This window comes from Homo sapiens, chromosome 8 (genome assembly GCF_000001405.40).
Source record: "Homo sapiens chromosome 8, GRCh38.p14 Primary Assembly".
Taxonomy (NCBI): domain Eukaryota; kingdom Metazoa; phylum Chordata; class Mammalia; order Primates; family Hominidae; genus Homo; species Homo sapiens.
Genome location: NC_000008.11, coordinates 7,722,842 through 7,742,163, shown reverse-complemented (window position 1 = coordinate 7,742,163; position 19,322 = coordinate 7,722,842). Strand labels below are relative to the sequence as shown.

General features: G+C 54.8%; 3 protein-coding genes and 1 pseudogene across 3 annotated transcripts; all 4 read right to left on the bottom strand.

The window, feature by feature from the left end:
- Nucleotides 1-19,322, bottom strand: part of LOC124901865 (translation initiation factor IF-2-like) — a 451,468-nt pseudogene that overhangs the window by 323,028 nt on the left and 109,118 nt on the right.
- Nucleotides 768-3,777, bottom strand: FAM90A8 (family with sequence similarity 90 member A8). The gene is made up of 4 exons (NM_001164450.1): nucleotides 3,655-3,777; nucleotides 2,961-3,160; nucleotides 2,395-2,503; nucleotides 768-1,730 (listed from the first exon to the last, which is right to left on the bottom strand). The coding sequence occupies exons 1-4, from the start codon at nucleotides 3,775-3,777 to the stop codon at nucleotides 768-770; spliced, it is 1,395 nt and encodes a 464-aa protein (NP_001157922.1).
- FAM90A16 (family with sequence similarity 90 member A16) lies at nucleotides 8,415-11,425 on the bottom strand. The gene is made up of 4 exons (NM_001397396.1): nucleotides 11,303-11,425; nucleotides 10,609-10,808; nucleotides 10,042-10,150; nucleotides 8,415-9,377 (listed from the first exon to the last, which is right to left on the bottom strand). Exons 1-4 carry the CDS (start codon nucleotides 11,423-11,425, stop codon nucleotides 8,415-8,417), a joined length of 1,395 nt encoding a protein of 464 aa, NP_001384325.1.
- Nucleotides 16,063-19,073, bottom strand: FAM90A18 (family with sequence similarity 90 member A18). The gene is made up of 4 exons (NM_001164451.1): nucleotides 18,951-19,073; nucleotides 18,257-18,456; nucleotides 17,690-17,798; nucleotides 16,063-17,025 (listed from the first exon to the last, which is right to left on the bottom strand). Exons 1-4 carry the CDS (start codon nucleotides 19,071-19,073, stop codon nucleotides 16,063-16,065), a joined length of 1,395 nt encoding a protein of 464 aa, NP_001157923.1.

The window sequence follows — 19,322 nt, the reverse complement described above, 5'->3', positions numbered from 1 at the left end:
TGCCGGTGCAGGTCCTAGGTGTGCTGAGTGCCGGTCCCCTGGACCCACTGTTGTCTCCCTATACTTTGTCTCTGTGTCTTATTTCTTTTCTCCGTCTCTCATCCCACCCGACTAGAAACACCCACAGGTGTGGAGGGGCAGGCCACCCCTTCACTTGGAAAATCAGTTACACACAAACACGGAATGAGAGTCAAAAGACAATATGTCATCTTTTTGAGAATTTTATTCACTTCAAAACACATTAAACACACATATGTACAAAGGCATTCCAGAGCCCAGTTTTCGAGGCTGAGGAAAGACCCCGAGAGCGCTTCGCACAGCACGCTTCCCAGCGTCCGAAACTCTGCTCTCAGGGCGGGGCACAGCGGAAGGGCTGCACCTCTCAGGGTTCCCTAACTTTTCCCTTATTCAGTCATCTAGAGAGCAAATACACAGTAATTCCCCAGTTTCCTATTGACGTCCCAGCGGAAGTCTGACTCCTGCGCGTCACGCAGTTTCTGAGGCAACGAATCTCTGGCACGGAAGCTTTTCCTGGCGCGTTTCCGGAGAACCACGCCAACTACAACGTCCCTCACCAGAATTCAATGAGGCAGAGTCCCTGCATCTGCTCCCTGCCTGGCCTGGGCTCCCACATCCACAGAAGCGCCACAGCCGGGGAGCTTCGGAGTCACCGCACAGAGTGTGCTCTCTGCTCTGCGCTCCTCAGTCCCACAGTCCCCTCCAAGTCACGGGAGCTGGAGGCCAAGGAGCCCCTGCCACCTGCAGTCTCACTCCAGGTCAGAATCGCTGTCCTCTGAGGAGGAGGAAACCTGAAGGTCCTCATAGAGGACGCTCGGTGGGACACGAACACAGGGAGCCTCAGACTTCTCTGACACATGAGGGCTCTGAGCGAGGAAGGCTCCCGGCTTCTCAGGAGAGTGAAATGAGGGGGCCGCCAGGAGGCTGGAGCTCCAGCGTCCGTTTTCCAGTCTCCGGAAGAGCACTCTGAGAGGCTGGGCCCCATCATGGCTGGCCGCTGAGTGATGGGACATGGTGCAGGCCTGGGCAGTAGGCAGGCAAGGTGTGCTGTGCGGAGGCTGCCGGTCGATGCTGGGCACCTGGGCCGGTGTCCTCCTGCCCATCTGGGGCGACGTACTTGGTCCAAGTTCGGTTGCGGCTGGCGGAGGTTGGAGATTCTCCGGGGCCCCCAGCTCACCTCCCTGGATGGCGCTTTCGGGGATCTGGAAGGGACCCAGTCTCGGTTTCTTGGGGAAGTTCAGGCAAGCCTGAATCGGAGCCTGGGCAGGTCTCTTGGCTCCTGGCCCGAAGCTGAGATTGGAGCCTAGGCCCAAGCTGTGTGTGGCGGCTGGCGGGCAGGGCTGCGAGGTCACCGCAGGACGTTTGTCTTGTGCCTGGGGTCTGGCGGCCTGGAGCAGGCCGTGGGTTTTGGAGGCAGCCTGGGGAACTTCTCGGCAGCCACCCTCGGGGCGGCTGTGTGTCGGCTTCACCACGAGGAGAGGCTCGCGGCCCTGGTGCCTGACTGCAGGCTGAGGGATGTCGGCCGCAGCCCCTGTCTGTCTTTCCTTTGGTCCAAGACTTGAGGAGGAGCTCAGGCTGGCTTTTCTGAGGGGAGACAGTGAAGCCAAGACGGAGCCCCTGCCAGACATTTCGGCAGCTGAGCGATCAGCGAGGACAGGGTCCACGCGCGGCCTCTTACTGGTTGTGTGGACCGGCATTGGCCCGCTTGCAACCTGAAAGAGAGGAAACAACACAGGTTAGAAGTTCCTCAGCATGGAGCCAACGTGAAAATCAAGCACATCCAAAGACAAGGTGCACACGCCATGAAATTCTTAGTACAGTATCGACAGGCGGTCCTTGGAAGTAGGGACAGACCCTCCACCTGAGTGCTGATCAGGACAAGACACATGAAAGATGCGCTCTCGAGCTATGTGTAGCTGATCTAAGCACACCATTGTTCAAAAGATCGCGTCTTGGGCATTAACTGGATCAAAGCGCCTCCACTCAGCCTTCCATGAAGTGGAACGGACTAATGCCCTTCCCGAGGCAGGTTGCTGGCTCAAGGGTACTCGGGACGTCTTCTCTGAACACATGCATGTTCCTGGGTTTCGCCTTCTCCACGTTTGGGGCCTCTGAGGGACTAATTTCCTCATGCCGCTAGGAACGTGTTGTTGGCAGGCTTGCCATAATTGGACAGAAAGAAAGCCACAGGAAATACGGCATCTTCAGATGCCTTCGCCTGGAATCCAATTGACCTGGAAGGATCGTGGAGTCCCTGACCCCAAGAAGGCAAGAAAGAGGGGTTCCCCGATTTCCTCCCGCAGACGGGAAGCTGAAAGGAAATCAACCAGGGTGACCTAGAGGAGAAAAGGACCAGGGGCCCGGGGTGACACTCACCCTCAGATGATCAGAAGACTCCGTGGATCCTTTTCCATTCGGCAGCGGCTTCTCTGGAGGTTTCCCGGAAAACATGTGGAGGAGAGCCTTCCTCTGCGGGTCTTGTTGCCTGCAGAACAGAAAAAGGTCAGGCCGTGCCCCCTGGTTTTCCCCAGGAGACAGGGAGACCCCGTCTGGGGCCCAGCCCCATTCCGTGTTTTGTGATACAGAAATGGACATCTGGTGCCCTTTCCGCCTCTGCACCTTCCCTCACGTGCCAACCTTCCCATCCTCCAGGTGGCCCTCTAGGCTTCCGAACTAAGGACTGTGATTTGGATTCCATCGCTTTTCCCCCTGTCGTGGGGAACCTGCACGAAGCGCCCCCGCCTCTCCCCGTCCCTGAATCTCCCAGAGCCCAAGGAGCTCCTGGGTGTGGAACCCCGGAGGACACGGAGCTCCGGCCTATTTCTCTGCAGCGCTCCTTCCCTGGCCCGGAGACGGAAAGGCACACGGTGTGCAGGTGCAGAGACACCATGTCCTTAGGAGGCAGCACCCTAAGAGTGGTGAAAACCCCTCCCACTGCTCACCTTGGTCTCTCTTCCTTCTCTCCCTTATCCTTGTTCAAGGGCCCCGGGTTGGCTTCACCCCGGGGCTTCCATGGTTTCAGGTTTTCCTTCCCTTCCTTTTTCCCCAAGGTCGCTGGAACCAGGGCTGCCTTCCAGCACTTCATGGGGCACCTGGTACTTCTGGCCGTGTGGCCAAAGGCCCCGCAGTTTTTGCACTTGAGCTGTGGGTGGAAAGGAAGTGATGTCAGTGAGTGAGCTGAAGCCACAGGCAGCGATCCCACGTCAACATTGGGACGGATTGTGAATTCAGAGCTGAATAAGGATTCCAAAGAGGGGACACCGGCATGGGGGCCGTTAAGTGCCGGGAGAGTTCGGGTACGATGTTCCCTCGCAAAGCCCATGGGACGGAGGAACTCTGAAAGGAAGGACTCAAGGTTCCAAGGGGCACGATGGTGAAGCCGATGTCAACAACGCAGCCAAACGTGGCTACACAGGACTCTAAGTAGAAAGGGAGGTTGCCCCCAAGAGTCTCTCAAGGGACCTATCGGGCCGGGGAGAAGGTCCCAAGCCACGCCCACCTTGGATGGGAAAAGCAACCTGGCTGGTGGTGACAGAACTCTTTGGAATCCAACCCAGTCTCTGAGGACCGTGGGACACCCCCTCCCCCCGTCCCCACCCCCACCCCGATACCCAAGAGATCCAGGGCTAGACTTACCCTGGGATCTTCTTCATCGGGCGGGGGAGCGCTTGGCCCAACTGGGGCCCTCCGCTGCTTCTGGAGGGTCTGGGCTCTCACCAGTCTCTTGGCCCAAGATTTGGGGTCCCGACGTGCCATCATCTTCGTCTCCTGGGGGTTTTATGACCGCCTTTTTCAGGGGTGGACTGTTGGGCCACCTGAAACACACACAAACACACACATGTCGATGGTTAAGCACGTTGGATATTCACACACCCACAGGAAGCCACCTGCTAACTCCCTGCCTGTGTGGTCATGAGGAGACCTCACCACCAGTGGGTCAAATCTGTAGAACACAATGTGCTGTGCGCATCCTCGGATATTGTGTGTTCCTCTGCCATGACTACCTAGTCCAAGAGTAAACCCCACCTGCCACAGGGCCCGTGGCCTAGGTATGGGGGGTTGAGCTTTCAACCCCAAACAAACAACTGATTCTGGAGACTGGACTTAGGTCTCTCACGGTTCACTCCGGTAGAAGACACGGTGATTCTATCTCCCTTGACGGACAGAATGATCGAAGACACAGGGCATGGCGTGTGCCACCCTTTGGCAGGTCTGCTTGAAGTCACGGATAAGGGATGCTTCCTGTGATAACTTGAATCGCTACTCTTGCCATTTCATTAGGCAACTTCCAAACACAAATTCATACAGAGAAGTTACCTTCCTCTCTACCGCACTAGCAGGTGATGATCTTTCCTGTTCTATCTTTTGGCTTTAGCTCCAGCCCCTCTTTATTTATTTTCCTGGTATTTTACGCATACCACACGAATTCATCTGAACAAACGGGGAAGAAGTGCCGTATCGTATCGACGTCTTACACGGCTGAAGGGCAAACCCCCCTTTTTTCCAAAGTCCTTTTTCCATTTACCCACCAACTCAGCATGCTGCAGTACATTTCTTTTCGCATTCCCATCTTGGTCTTCTCCCACACGTGGAGACGGATATGTTGTCTCGTTTTCTGTTCCAAGAATTACTAGTAACGAGAACACATCCTACCCCACCAGCAAGCCCCAGTGTGATCGGTTTCTTTCGGACTCCTTTGTCTCTTCCTCCCCCCGCCCCTCCCCGCCAAAACCACTCAGGGATTGCGTGAAACAAACAATTGTTCAGCGAAACTAACCTGAAATTACACGTCTACTTTCTTTCCCAGGCTGGCGCTGAGATGGGCAGGTGCTGCAGCAGCCCCGCTGGAAGCGATGCAGCATCCAGGACGACGGAGGAAGGGGCGGAGAGGGACCTCTGCTTTCCAGGCTGCCTTTTATACTGCCTCTGGTCACCTGACATGGAACGTACCCTAACCTAATCAGTTACCTGTACCTTAATTGCAATTAACTTAATCCAATTACATGACCTGGAAAGGTCTATCTGCACAGCCCACTCTAAGATCATGTCCACTGCTGACAGACATTCTAAAACCTACTTGTACAGCTGCAAGCTTTGAACAATAGATGTTCCCCGTCAGACATGTAACACTGGTGCCTGTACCCCTGTCTTCTTTTCCATCTTTTCTGTTGTTTTGTTTTGTTTTGTTTTAAAAAATGTGGTAAAATAGACACCTTTTAATTGGACCACATTTTGTCTATCTCGACGTAGGCCTCAGTGTCATCAAGGAGACTCTGCTTGACATGCAGTCAAGGCCATGATCCATCTTCAGAGCTTCTCTTTCTTCCCCAAGGTAAGTCTGTCAGCAGAGAACCCTGACCGCACCCTCATGTGTTTTCTCCCCCAGGAGGCGCTTGGAAACCACCGTGAATTGGACCGCACTGGGAAACACAGATGAGGAAAGTCAACAACGCTTTGTCCTTCAGTGCCTGGCTCCTTTTTCAGCTCGTCTTGCGACTCCAGGCATTATGCCTGAAAAGTCTCCCGGACGCCTGTGAGGCTGTAATTCCCTGGGTCCCATTGCCATGTCTCTGGATTTGCGAAGATCCACCGCACCTTCTGTGGAACTCCCGTGTCGGTGAACTTTTGTGCCACGGCCCCTAATTCTGCCCATGGTCATCCGCACCTGCACGACTTAGGGTCCATGTTCCTTGGACGGGAAGAGACAGGCAGGAGTCGGAATGATGAACCAGCACACTGGGGCGTTTTCTCATGTAGCCCAAGTGACCCCATGGTCTTCTCGAGCTTTGGAACCAGTCGCGTCCCCTTTGACACTGCACCCGGCTCCCAGTCTCTCAATCTTGTTGGCCCTCCGGCGATCTCCCGTTGGATGGATTGCTCCTGCTGAAACTCGAGTCCCCTTTGATTTGCGCTTCATTAATTATTCATGATTCAGGTTCGAAGGCCTGCTGACGACCCCCTGTGGCCGTTCTCTGAGCTTTCCTGTCACATCGTTTCCTTCCACGCTCTTTGGTTCCTTATGGTCCTGCTCCTTCTGCTGTCAGAGGAGCAGAGAGTTGATCTTATTCATTCTGGATACGGATACTTTCTAGTTGATCTGGATAATCAAGATAACGACCCTCAACAGCGGCGGAGAGGGAGCAGCCAGTTGGTGTGTCTCAGAAAATCCCGCTGAGTTCCGAGGCCTCCTAGATGTGGAATCCTGCTGAGAGTTGTTCCCAGGTCAGAGAATGGAGAGAGCCTGTGCATGATGGGATATCCCCGCCTAGATCTTTCAGTGAGTCTCTGCCTCAGCTACTCTTAGGATCAGGGGGAGAACCATGGTGTCAGACATCCGGAAAGAAGACGGGATGAATGTTTTACCTCTGAAGTACATCCCAAATGTGGGAGTTAACTTCAGCTTTGCTGGGGTCTATTTGGCCAGTGAAACTCTGCCTGGTTCCTTCGCACATCCGGAAGCCACTTCACGGGGGGCCGTCGCAACTGGAACCACACACTTGGCATCGGCGGTTGAGCCAAATGGGGACTCGTGGTGCAAGCAACGCTCCCCACGTGTTAGCGTGCGTGAGATTCGGTTGGCGGAATTTTACTAGGTGCGTGTTGGTAGAGTGGGGCTGAGGTTTTCTTGCTCCTGTGGATGTATAGGAAGTCAAAGGTCCTGCCCAGCCCTGCGGTCCCCTCAGTCAACTCTGTTTCGGAGACGTAACGATTTGGATTGCCAACAAGTCAAGAAATGTTCAAGCCCTTGGATGTAGGGTAAAGAAAGAGAGATCAGACTGTCACTGTGTCTATGTAGAAGGGGAAGACATAAGAGACTCCATTTTGAAAAAGACCTGTAGTTTAAACAATTGCTTTGCTGAGATGTTGATCATTTGTAGCTTTCCCGCAGCCCCTTCCTTTGACCCAACTTGGAGCTCACAAAAACCTGTGTTGTATAAAATCGAGGTTTAAGGGATCTAGGGCTGTGCAGGACGCGCCTTGTTTACCAAATGTTTACGAGCAGTATCCTTGGTAGGAGTCATTGCCATTCCCTAGTCTCAATAAACCAGGGGTGCAATGCACCGTGGAAAGCCACAGGGACCTCTGCCCTTGAAAGCAGGGTATTGTCCAAGGTTTCTCCCCATGTGACAGTCTGAAATATGGCCTCGTGGGATGGAAAAGACCGGACTGTCCCCCAGCCTGACACCCGCAATGGGTCTGTGCTGAGGTGGATTAGTCAAAGAGGAACGCCTCTTGCAGTTCAGATGGAGGAAGGCCACTGTCTCCTGCTTGCCCCTGGGAACTGAATGTCTCGGTGTAAAGCCCGATCGTACATTTGTTCAACTCTGAGCTCGGCGAAAAGCTGCCCTGTGGCGGGAGGCGAGACATGCTGGCAGTAATGCTGCCTTGTTATTCTTTACTCCGCTGAGATATTTGTGTGGAGAGAAACATAAATCTGGCCTACGTGCACGTCCAGGCATAGTACCTTCCCTTGAACTTAATAATGATATGGATTCTTTTGCTCACGTGTTTGTTTTTTGTTGTTGTTTTGACCTTCCCCTTATTATCACCCTGCTCCCCTACTGCATTCCTTTGTGCTGAAATAATGAAAATCATAATCAATAAAAACTGAGGGAACTCAGAGGCCGGTGCCGGTGCAGGTCCTAGGTGTGCTGAGTGCCGGTCCCCTGGACCCACTGTTGTCTCCCTATACTTTGTCTCTGTGTCTTATTTCTTTTCTCCGTCTCTCATCCCACCCGACTAGAAACACCCACAGGTGTGGAGGGGCAGGCCACCCCTTCACTTGGAAAATCAGTTACACACAAACACGGAATGAGAGTCAAAAGACAATATGTCATCTTTTTGAGAATTTTATTCACTTCAAAACCCATTAAACACACATATGTACAAAGGCATTCCAGAGCCCAGTTTTCGAGGCTGAGGAAAGACCCCGAGAGCGCTTCGCACAGCACGCTTCCCAGCGTCCGAAACACTGCTCTCAGGGCGGGGCACAGCGGAAGGGCTGCACCTCTCAGGGTTCCCTAACTTTTCCCTTATTCAGTCATCTAGAGAGCAAATACACAGTAATTCCCCAGTTTCCTATTGACGTCCCAGCGGAAGTCTGACTCCTGCGCGTCACGCAGTTTCTGAGGCAACGAATCTCTGGCACGGAAGCTTTTCCTGGCGCGTTTCCGGAGAACCACGCCAACTACAACGTCCCTCACCAGAATTCAATGAGGCAGAGTCCCTGCATCTGCTCCCTGCCTGGCCTGGGCTCCCACATCCACAGAAGCGCCACAGCCGGGGAGCTTCGGAGTCACCGCACAGAGTGTGCTCTCTGCTCTGCGCTCCTCAGTCCCACAGTCCCCTCCAAGTCACGGGAGCTGGAGGCCAAGGAGCCCCTGCCACCTGCAGTCTCACTCCAGGTCAGAATCGCTGTCCTCTGAGGAGGAGGAAACCTGAAGGTCCTCATAGAGGACGCTCGGTGGGACACGAACACAGGGAGCCTCAGACTTCTCTGACACATGAGGGCTCTGAGCGAGGAAGGCTCCCGGCTTCTCAGGAGAGTGAAATGAGGGGGCCGCCAGGAGGCTGGAGCTCCAGCGTCCGTTTTCCAGTCTCCGGAAGAGCACTCTGAGAGGCTGGGCCCCATCATGGCTGGCCGCTGAGTGATGGGACATGGTGCAGGCCTGGGCAGTAGGCAGGCAAGGTGTGCTGTGCGGAGGCTGCCGGTCGACGCTGGGCACCTGGGCCGGTGTCCTCCTGCCCATCTGGGGCGACGTACTTGGTCCAAGTTCGGTTGCGGCTGGCGGAGGTTGGAGATTCTCCGGGGCCCCCAGCTCACCTCCCTGGATGGCGCTTTCGGGGATCTGGAAGGGACCCAGTCTCGGTTTCTTGGGGAAGTTCAGGCAAGCCTGAATCGGAGCCTGGGCAGGTCTCTTGGCTCCTGGCCCGAAGCTGAGATTGGAGCCTAGGCCCAAGCTGTGTGTGGCGGCTGGCGGGCAGGGCTGCGAGGTCACCGCAGGACGTTTGTCTTGTGCCTGGGGTCTGGCGGCCTGGAGCAGGCCGTGGGTTTTGGAGGCAGCCTGGGGAACTTCTCGGCAGCCACCCTCGGGGCGGCTGTGTGTCGGCTTCACCACGAGGAGAGGCTCGCGGCCCTGGTGCCTGACTGCAGGCTGAGGGATGTCGGCCGCAGCCCCTGTCTGTCTTTCCTTTGGTCCAAGACTTGAGGAGGAGCTCAGGCTGGCTTTTCTGAGGGGAGACAGTGAAGCCAAGACGGAGCCCCTGCCAGACATTTCGGCAGCTGAGCGATCAGCGAGGACAGGGTCCACGCGCGGCCTCTTACTGGTTGTGTGGACCGGCATTGGCCCGCTTGCAACCTGAAAGAGAGGAAACAACACAGGTTAGAAGTTCCTCAGCATGGAGCCAACGTGAAAATCAAGCACATCCAAAGACAAGGTGCACACGCCATGAAATTCTTAGTACAGTATCGACAGGCGGTCCTTGGAAGTAGGGACAGACCCTCCACCTGAGTGCTGATCAGGACAAGACACATGAAAGATGCGCTCTCGAGCTATGTGTAGCTGATCTAAGCACACCATTGTTCAAAAGATCGCGTCTTGGGCATTAACTGGATCAAAGCGCCTCCACTCAGCCTTCCATGAAGTGGAACGGACTAATGCCCTTCCCGAGGCAGGTTGCTGGCTCAAGGGTACTCGGGACGTCTTCTCTGAACACATGCATGTTCCTGGGTTTCGCCTTCTCCACGTTTGGGGCCTCTGAGGGACTAATTTCCTCATGCCGCTAGGAACGTGTTGTTGGCAGGCTTGCCATAATTGGACAGAAAGAAAGCCACAGGAAATACGGCATCTTCAGATGCCTTCGCCTGGAATCCAATTGACCTGGAAGGATCGTGGAGTCCCTGACCCCAAGAAGGCAAGAAAGAGGGGTTCCCCGATTTCCTCCCGCAGACGGGAAGCTGAAAGGAAATCAACCAGGGTGACCTAGAGGAGAAAAGGACCAGGGGCCCGGGGTGACACTCACCCTCAGATGATCAGAAGACTCCGTGGATCCTTTTCCATTCGGCAGCGGCTTCTCTGGAGGTTTCCCGGAAAACATGTGGAGGAGAGCCTTCCTCTGCGGGTCTTGTTGCCTGCAGAACAGAAAAAGGTCAGGCCGTGCCCCCTGGTTTTCCCCAGGAGACAGGGAGAGCCCCGTCTGGGGCCCAGCCCCATTCCGTGTTTTGTGATACAGAAATGGACATCTGGTGCCCTTTCCGCCTCTGCACCTTCCCTCACGTGCCAACCTTCCCATCCTCCAGGTGGCCCTCTAGGCTTCCGAACTAAGGACTGTGATTTGGATTCCATCGCTTTTCCCCCTGTCGTGGGGAACCTGCACGAAGCGCCCCCGCCTCTCCCCGTCCCTGAATCTCCCAGAGCCCAAGGAGCTCCTGGGTGTGGAACCCCGGAGGACACGGAGCTCCGGCCTATTTCTCTGCAGCGCTCCTTCCCTGGCCCGGAGACGGAAAGGCACACGGTGTGCAGGTGCAGAGACACCATGTCCTTAGGAGGCAGCATCCTAAGAGTGGTGAAAACCCCTCCCACTGCTCACCTTGGTCTCTCTTCCTTCTCTCCCTTATCCTTGTTCAAGGGCCCCGGGTTGGCTTCAACCCGGGGCTTCCATGGTTTCAGGTTTTCCTTCCCTTCCTTTTTCCCCAAGGTCGCTGGAACCAGGGCTGCCTTCCAGCACTTCATGGGGCACCTGGTACTTCTGGCCGTGTGGCCAAAGGCCCCGCAGTTTTTGCACTTGAGCTGTGGGTGGAAAGGAAGTGATGTCAGTGAGTGAGCTGAAGCCACAGGCAGCGATCCCACGTCAACATTGGGACGGATTGTGAATTCAGAGCTGAATAAGGATTCCAAAGAGGGGACACCGGCATGGGGGCCGTTAAGTGCCGGGAGAGTTCGGGTACGATGTTCCCTCGCAAAGCCCATGGGACGGAGGAACTCTGAAAGGAAGGACTCAAGGTTCCAAGGGGCACGATGGTGAAGCCGATGTCAACAACGCAGCCAAACGTGGCTACACAGGACTCTAAGTAGAAAGGGAGGTTGCCCCCAAGAGTCTCTCAAGGGACCTATCGGGCCGGGGAGAAGGTCCCAAGCCACGCCCACCTTGGATGGGAAAAGCAACCTGGCTGGTGGTGACAGAACTCTTTGGAATCCAACCCAGTCTCTGAGGACCGTGGGACACCCCCTCCCCCCGTCCCCACCCCCACCCCGATACCCAAGAGATCCAGGGCTAGACTTACCCTGGGATCTTCTTCATCGGGCGGGGGAGCCCTTGGCCCAACTGGGGCCCTCCGCTGCTTCTGGAGGGTCTGGGCTCTCACCAGTCTCTTGGCCCAAGATTTGGGGTCCCGACGTGCCATCATCTTCGTCTCCTGGGGGTTTTATGACCGCCTTTTTCAGGGGTGGACTGTTGGGCCACCTGAAACACACACAAACACACACATGTCGATGGTTAAGCACGTTGGATATTCACACACCCACAGGAAGCCACCTGCTAACTCCCTGCCTGTGTGGTCATGAGGAGACCTCACCACCAGTGGGTCAAATCTGTAGAACACAATGTGCTGTGCGCATCCTCGGATATTGTGTGTTCCTCTGCCATGACTACCTAGTCCAAGAGTAAACCCCACCTGCCACAGGGCCCGTGGCCTAGGTATGGGGGGTTGAGCTTTCAACCCCAAACAAACAACTGATTCTGGAGACTGGACTTAGGTCTCTCACGGTTCACTCCGGTAGAAGACACGGTGATTCTATCTCCCTTGACGGACAGAATGATCGAAGACACAGGGCATGGCGTGTGCCACCCTTTGGCAGGTCTGCTTGAAGTCACGGATAAGGGATGCTTCCTGTGATAACTTGAATCGCTACTCTTGCCATTTCATTAGGCAACTTCCAAACACAAATTCATACAGAGAAGTTACCTTCCTCTCTACCGCACTAGCAGGTGATGATCTTTCCTGTTCTATCTTTTGGCTTTAGCTCCAGCCCCTCTTTATTTATTTTCCTGGTATTTTACGCATACCACACGAATTCATCTGAACAAACGGGGAAGAAGTGCCGTATCGTATCGACGTCTTACACGGCTGAAGGGCAAACCCCCCTTTTTTCCAAAGTCCTTTTTCCATTTACCCACCAACTCAGCATGCTGCAGTACATTTCTTTTCGCATTCCCATCTTGGTCTTCTCCCACACGTGGAGACGGATATGTTGTCTCGTTTTCTGTTCCAAGAATTACTAGTAACGAGAACACATCCTACCCCACCAGCAAGCCCCAGTGTGATCGGTTTCTTTCGGACTCCTTTGTCTCTTCCTCCCCCCGCCCCTCCCCGCCAAAACCACTCAGGGATTGCGTGAAACAAACAATTGTTCAGCGAAACTAACCTGAAATTACACGTCTACTTTCTTTCCCAGGCTGGCGCTGAGATGGGCAGGTGCTGCAGCAGCCCCGCTGGAAGCGATGCAGCATCCAGGACGACGGAGGAAGGGGCGGAGAGGGACCTCTGCTTTCCAGGCTGCCTTTTATACTGCCTCTGGTCACCTGACATGGAACGTACCCTAACCTAATCAGTTACCTGTACCTTAATTGCAATTAACTTAATCCAATTACATGACCTGGAAAGGTCTATCTGCACAGCCCACTCTAAGATCATGTCCACTGCTGACAGACATTCTAAAACCTACTTGTACAGCTGCAAGCTTTGAACAATAGATGTTCCCCGTCAGACATGTAACACTGGTGCCTGTACCCCTGTCTTCTTTTCCATCTTTTCTGTTGTTTTGTTTTGTTTTGTTTTAAAAAATGTGGTAAAATAGACACCTTTTAATTGGACCACATTTTGTCTATCTCGACGTAGGCCTCAGTGTCATCAAGGAGACTCTGCTTGACATGCAGTCAAGGCCATGATCCATCTTCAGAGCTTCTCTTTCTTCCCCAAGGTAAGTCTGTCAGCAGAGAACCCTGACCGCACCCTCATGTGTTTTCTCCCCCAGGAGGCGCTTGGAAACCACCGTGAATTGGACCGCACTGGGAAACACAGATGAGGAAAGTCAACAACGCTTTGTCCTTCAGTGCCTGGCTCCTTTTTCAGCTCGTCTTGCGACTCCAGGCATTATGCCTGAAAAGTCTCCCGGACGCCTGTGAGGCTGTAATTCCCTGGGTCCCATTGCCATGTCTCTGGATTTGCGAAGATCCACCGCACCTTCTGTGGAACTCCCGTGTCGGTGAACTTTTGTGCCACGGCCCCTAATTCTGCCCATGGTCATCCGCACCTGCACGACTTAGGGTCCATGTTCCTTGGACGGGAAGAGACAGGCAGGAGTCGGAATGATGAACCAGCACACTGGGGCGTTTTCTCATGTAGCCCAAGTGACCCCATGGTCTTCTCGAGCTTTGGAACCAGTCGCGTCCCCTTTGACACTGCACCCGGCTCCCAGTCTCTCAATCTTGTTGGCCCTCCGGCGATCTCCCGTTGGATGGATTGCTCCTGCTGAAACTCGAGTCCCCTTTGATTTGCGCTTCATTAATTATTCATGATTCAGGTTCGAAGGCCTGCTGACGACCCCCTGTGGCCGTTCTCTGAGCTTTCCTGTCACATCGTTTCCTTCCACGCTCTTTGGTTCCTTATGGTCCTGCTCCTTCTGCTGTCAGAGGAGCAGAGAGTTGATCTTATTCATTCTGGATACGGATACTTTCTAGTTGATCTGGATAATCAAGATAACGACCCTCAACAGCGGCGGAGAGGGAGCAGCCAGTTGGTGTGTCTCAGAAAATCCCGCTGAGTTCCGAGGCCTCCTAGATGTGGAATCCTGCTGAGAGTTGTTCCCAGGTCAGAGAATGGAGAGAGCCTGTGCATGATGGGATATCCCCGCCTAGATCTTTCAGTGAGTCTCTGCCTCAGCTACTCTTAGGATCAGGGGGAGAACCATGGTGTCAGACATCCGGAAAGAAGACGGGATGAATGTTTTACCTCTGAAGTACATCCCAAATGTGGGAGTTAACTTCAGCTTTGCTGGGGTCTATTTGGCCAGTGAAACTCTGCCTGGTTCATTCGCACATCCGGAAGCCACTTCACGGGGGGCCGTCGCAACTGGAACCACACACTTGGCATCGGCGGTTGAGCCAAATGGGGACTCGTGGTGCAAGCAACGCTCCCCACGTGTTAGCGTGCGTGAGATTCGGTTGGCGGAATTTTACTAGGTGCGTGTTGGTAGAGTGGGGCTGAGGTTTTCTTGCTCCTGTGGATGTATAGGAAGTCAAAGGTCCTGCCCAGCCCTGCGGTCCCCTCAGTCAACTCTGTTTCGGAGACGTAACGATTTGGATTGCCAACAAGTCAAGAAATGTTCAAGCCCTTGGATGTAGGGTAAAGAAAGAGAGATCAGACTGTCACTGTGTCTATGTAGAAGGGGAAGACATAAGAGACTCCATTTTGAAAAAGACCTGTAGTTTAAACAATTGCTTTGCTGAGATGTTGATCATTTGTAGCTTTCCCGCAGCCCCTTCCTTTGACCCAACTTGGAGCTCACAAAAACCTGTGTTGTATAAAATCGAGGTTTAAGGGATCTAGGGCTGTGCAGGACGCGCCTTGTTTACCAAATGTTTACGAGCAGTATCCTTGGTAGGAGTCATTGCCATTCCCTAGTCTCAATAAACCAGGGGTGCAATGCACCGTGGAAAGCCACAGGGACCTCTGCCCTTGAAAGCAGGGTATTGTCCAAGGTTTCTCCCCATGTGACAGTCTGAAATATGGCCTCGTGGGATGGAAAAGACCGGACTGTCCCCCAGCCTGACACCCGCAATGGGTCTGTGCTGAGGTGGATTAGTCAAAGAGGAACGCCTCTTGCAGTTCAGATGGAGGAAGGCCACTGTCTCCTGCTTGCCCCTGGGAACTGAATGTCTCGGTGTAAAGCCCGATCGTACATTTGTTCAACTCTGAGCTCGGCGAAAAGCTGCCCTGTGGCGGGAGGCGAGACATGCTGGCAGTAATGCTGCCTTGTTATTCTTTACTCCGCTGAGATATTTGTGTGGAGAGAAACATAAATCTGGCCTACGTGCACGTCCAGGCATAGTACCTTCCCTTGAACTTAATAATGATATGGATTCTTTTGCTCACGTGTTTGTTTTTTGTTGTTGTTTTGACCTTCCCCTTATTATCACCCTGCTCCCCTACTGCATTCCTTTGTGCTGAAATAATGAAAATCATAATCAATAAAAACTGAGGGAACTCAGAGGCCGGTGCCGGTGCAGGTCCTAGGTGTGCTGAGTGCCGGTCCCCTGGACCCACTGTTGTCTCCCTATACTTTGTCTCTGTGTCTTATTTCTTTTCTCCGTCTCTCATCCCACCCGACTAGAAACACCCACAGGTGTGGAGGGGCAGGCCACCCCTTCACTTGGAAAATCAGTTACACACAAACACGGAATGAGAGTCAAAAGACAATATGTCATCTTTTTGAGAATTTTATTCACTTCAAAACCCATTAAACACACATATGTACAAAGGCATTCCAGAGCCCAGTTTTCGAGGCTGAGGAAAGACCCCGAGAGCGCTTCGCACAGCACGCTTCCCAGCGTCCGAAACACTGCTCTCAGGGCGGGGCACAGCGGAAGGGCTGCACCTCTCAGGGTTCCCTAACTTTTCCCTTATTCAGTCATCTAGAGAGCAAATACACAGTAATTCCCCAGTTTCCTATTGACGTCCCAGCGGAAGTCTGACTCCTGCGCGTCACGCAGTTTCTGAGGCAACGAATCTCTGGCACGGAAGCTTTTCCTGGCGCGTTTCCGGAGAACCACGCCAACTACAACGTCCCTCACCAGAATTCAATGAGGCAGAGTCCCTGCATCTGCTCCCTGCCTGGCCTGGGCTCCCACATCCACAGAAGCGCCACAGCCGGGGAGCTTCGGAGTCACCGCACAGAGTGTGCTCTCTGCTCTGCGCTCCTCAGTCCCACAGTCCCCTCCAAGTCACGGGAGCTGGAGGCCAAGGAGCCCCTGCCACCTGCAGTCTCACTCCAGGTCAGAATCGCTGTCCTCTGAGGAGGAGGAAACCTGAAGGTCCTCATAGAGGACGCTCGGTGGGACACGAACACAGGGAGCCTCAGACTTCTCTGACACATGAGGGCTCTGAGCGAGGAAGGCTCCCGGCTTCTCAGGAGAGTGAAATGAGGGGGCCGCCAGGAGGCTGGAGCTCCAGCGTCCGTTTTCCAGTCTCCGGAAGAGCACTCTGAGAGGCTGGGCCCCATCATGGCTGGCCGCTGAGTGATGGGACATGGTGCAGGCCTGGGCAGTAGGCAGGCAAGGTGTGCTGTGCGGAGGCTGCCAGTCGACGCTGGGCACCTGGGCCGGTGTCCTCCTGCCCATCTGGGGCGACGTACTTGGTCCAAGTTCGGTTGCGGCTGGCGGAGGTTGGAGATTCCCCGGGGCCCCCAGCTCACCTCCCTGGATGGCGCTTTCGGGGATCTGGAAGGGACCCAGTCTCGGTTTCTTGGGGAATTTCAGGCAAGCCTGAATCGGAGCCTGGGCAGGTCTCTTGGCTCCTGGCCCGAAGCTGAGATTGGAGCCTAGGCCCAAGCTGTGTGTGGCGGCTGGCGGGCAGGGCTGCGAGGTCACCGCAGGACGTTTGTCTTGTGCCTGGGGTCTGGCGGCCTGGAGCAGGCCGTGGGTTTTGGAGGCAGCCTGGGGAACTTCTCGGCAGCCACCCTCGGGGCTGCTGTGTGTCGGCTTCACCACGAGGAGAGGCTCGCGGCCCTGGTGCCTGACTGCAGGCTGAGGCATGTCGGCCGCAGCCCCTGTCTGTCTTTCCTTTGGTCCAAGACTTGAGGAGGAGCTCAGGCTGGCTTTTCTGAGGGGAGACAGTGAAGCCAAGACGGAGCCCCTGCCAGACATTTCGGCAGCTGAGCGATCAGCGAGGACAGGGTCCACGCGCGGCCTCTTACTGGTTGTGTGGACCGGCATTGGCCCGCTTGCAACCTGAAAGAGAGGAAACAACACAGGTTAGAAGTTCCTCAGCATGGAGCCAACGTGAAAATCAAGCACATCCAAAGACAAGGTGCACACGCCATGAAATTCTTAGTACAGTATCGACAGGCGGTCCTTGGAAGTAGGGACAGACCCTCCACCTGAGTGCTGATCAGGACAAGACACATGAAAGATGCGCTCTCGAGCTATGTGTAGCTGATCTAAGCACACCATTGTTCAAAAGATCGCGTCTTGGGCATTAACTGGATCAAAGCGCCTCCACTCAGCCTTCCATGAAGTGGAACGGACTAATGCCCTTCCCGAGGCAGGTTGCTGGCTCAAGGGTACTCGGGACGTCTTCTCTGAACACATGCATGTTCCTGGGTTTCGCCTTCTCCACGTTTGGGGCCTCTGAGGGACTAATTTCCTCATGCCGCTAGGAACGTGTTGTTGGCAGGCTTGCCATAATTGGACAGAAAGAAAGCCACAGGAAATACGGCATCTTCAGATGCCTTCGCCTGGAATCCAATTGACCTGGAAGGATCGTGGAGTCCCTGACCCCAAGAAGGCAAGAAAGAGGGGTTCCCCGATTTCCTCCCGCAGACGGGAAGCTGAAAGGAAATCAACCAGGGTGACCTAGAGGAGAAAAGGACCAGGGGCCCGGGGTGACACTCACCCTCAGATGATCAGAAGACTCCGTGGATCCTTTTCCATTCGGCAGCGGCTTCTCTGGAGGTTTCCCGGAAAACATGTGGAGGAGAGCCTTCCTCTGCGGGTCTTGTTGCCTGCAGAACAGAAAAAGGTCAGGCCGTGCCCCCTGGTTTTCCCCAGGAGACAGGGAGAGCCCCGTCTGGGGCCCAGCCCCATTCCGTGTTTTGTGATACAGAAATGGACATCTGGTGCCCTTTCCGCCTCTGCACCTTCCCTCACGTGCCAACCTTCCCATCCTCCAGGTGGCCCTCTAGGCTTCCGAACTAAGGACTGTGATTTGGATTCCATCGCTTTTCCCCCTGTCGTGGGGAACCTGCACGAAGCGCCCCCGCCTCTCCCCGTCCCTGAATCTCCCAGAGCCCAAGGAGCTCCTGGGTGTGGAACCCCGGAGGACACGGAGCTCCGGCCTATTTCTCTGCAGCGCTCCTTCCCTGGCCCGGAGACGGAAAGGCACACGGTGTGCAGGTGCAGAGACACCATGTCCTTAGGAGGCAGCATCCTAAGAGTGGTGAAAACCCCTCCCACTGCTCACCTTGGTCTCTCTTCCTTCTCTCCCTTATCCTTGTTCAAGGGCCCCGGGTTGGCTTCAACCCGGGGCTTCCATGGTTTCAGGTTTTCCTTCCCTTCCTTTTTCCCCAAGGTCGCTGGAACCAGGGCTGCCTTCCAGCACTTCATGGGGCACCTGGTACTTCTGGCCGTGTGGCCAAAGGCCCCGCAGTTTTTGCACTTGAGCTGTGGGTGGAAAGGAAGTGATGTCAGTGAGTGAGCTGAAGCCACAGGCAGCGATCCCACGTCAACATTGGGACGGATTGTGAATTCAGAGCTGAATAAGGATTCCAAAGAGGGGACACCGGCATGGGGGCCGTTAAGTGCCGGGAGAGTTCGGGTACGATGTTCCCTCGCAAAGCCCATGGGACGGAGGAACTCTGAAAGGAAGGACTCAAGGTTCCAAGGGGCACGATGGTGAAGCCGATGTCAACAACGCAGCCAAACGTGGCTACACAGGACTCTAAGTAGAAAGGGAGGTTGCCCCCAAGAGTCTCTCAAGGGACCTATCGGGCCGGGGAGAAGGTCCCAAGCCACGCCCACCTTGGATGGGAAAAGCAACCTGGCTGGTGGTGACAGAACTCTTTGGAATCCAACCCAGTCTCTGAGGACCGTGGGACACCCCCTCCCCCCGTCCCCACCCCCACCCCGATACCCAAGAGATCCAGGGCTAGACTTACCCTGGGATCTTCTTCATCGGGCGGGGGAGCCCTTGGCCCAACTGGGGCCCTCCGCTGCTTCTGGAGGGTCTGGGCTCTCACCAGTCTCTTGGCCCAAGATTTGGGGTCCCGACGTGCCATCATCTTCGTCTCCTGGGGGTTTTATGACCGCCTTTTTCAGGGGTGGACTGTTGGGCCACCTGAAACACACACAAACACACACATGTCGATGGTTAAGCACGTTGGATATTCACACACCCACAGGAAGCCACCTGCTAACTCCCTGCCTGTGTGGTCATGAGGAGACCTCACCACCAGTGGGTCAAATCTGTAGAACACAATGTGCTGTGCGCATCCTCGGATATTGTGTGTTCCTCTGCCATGACTACCTAG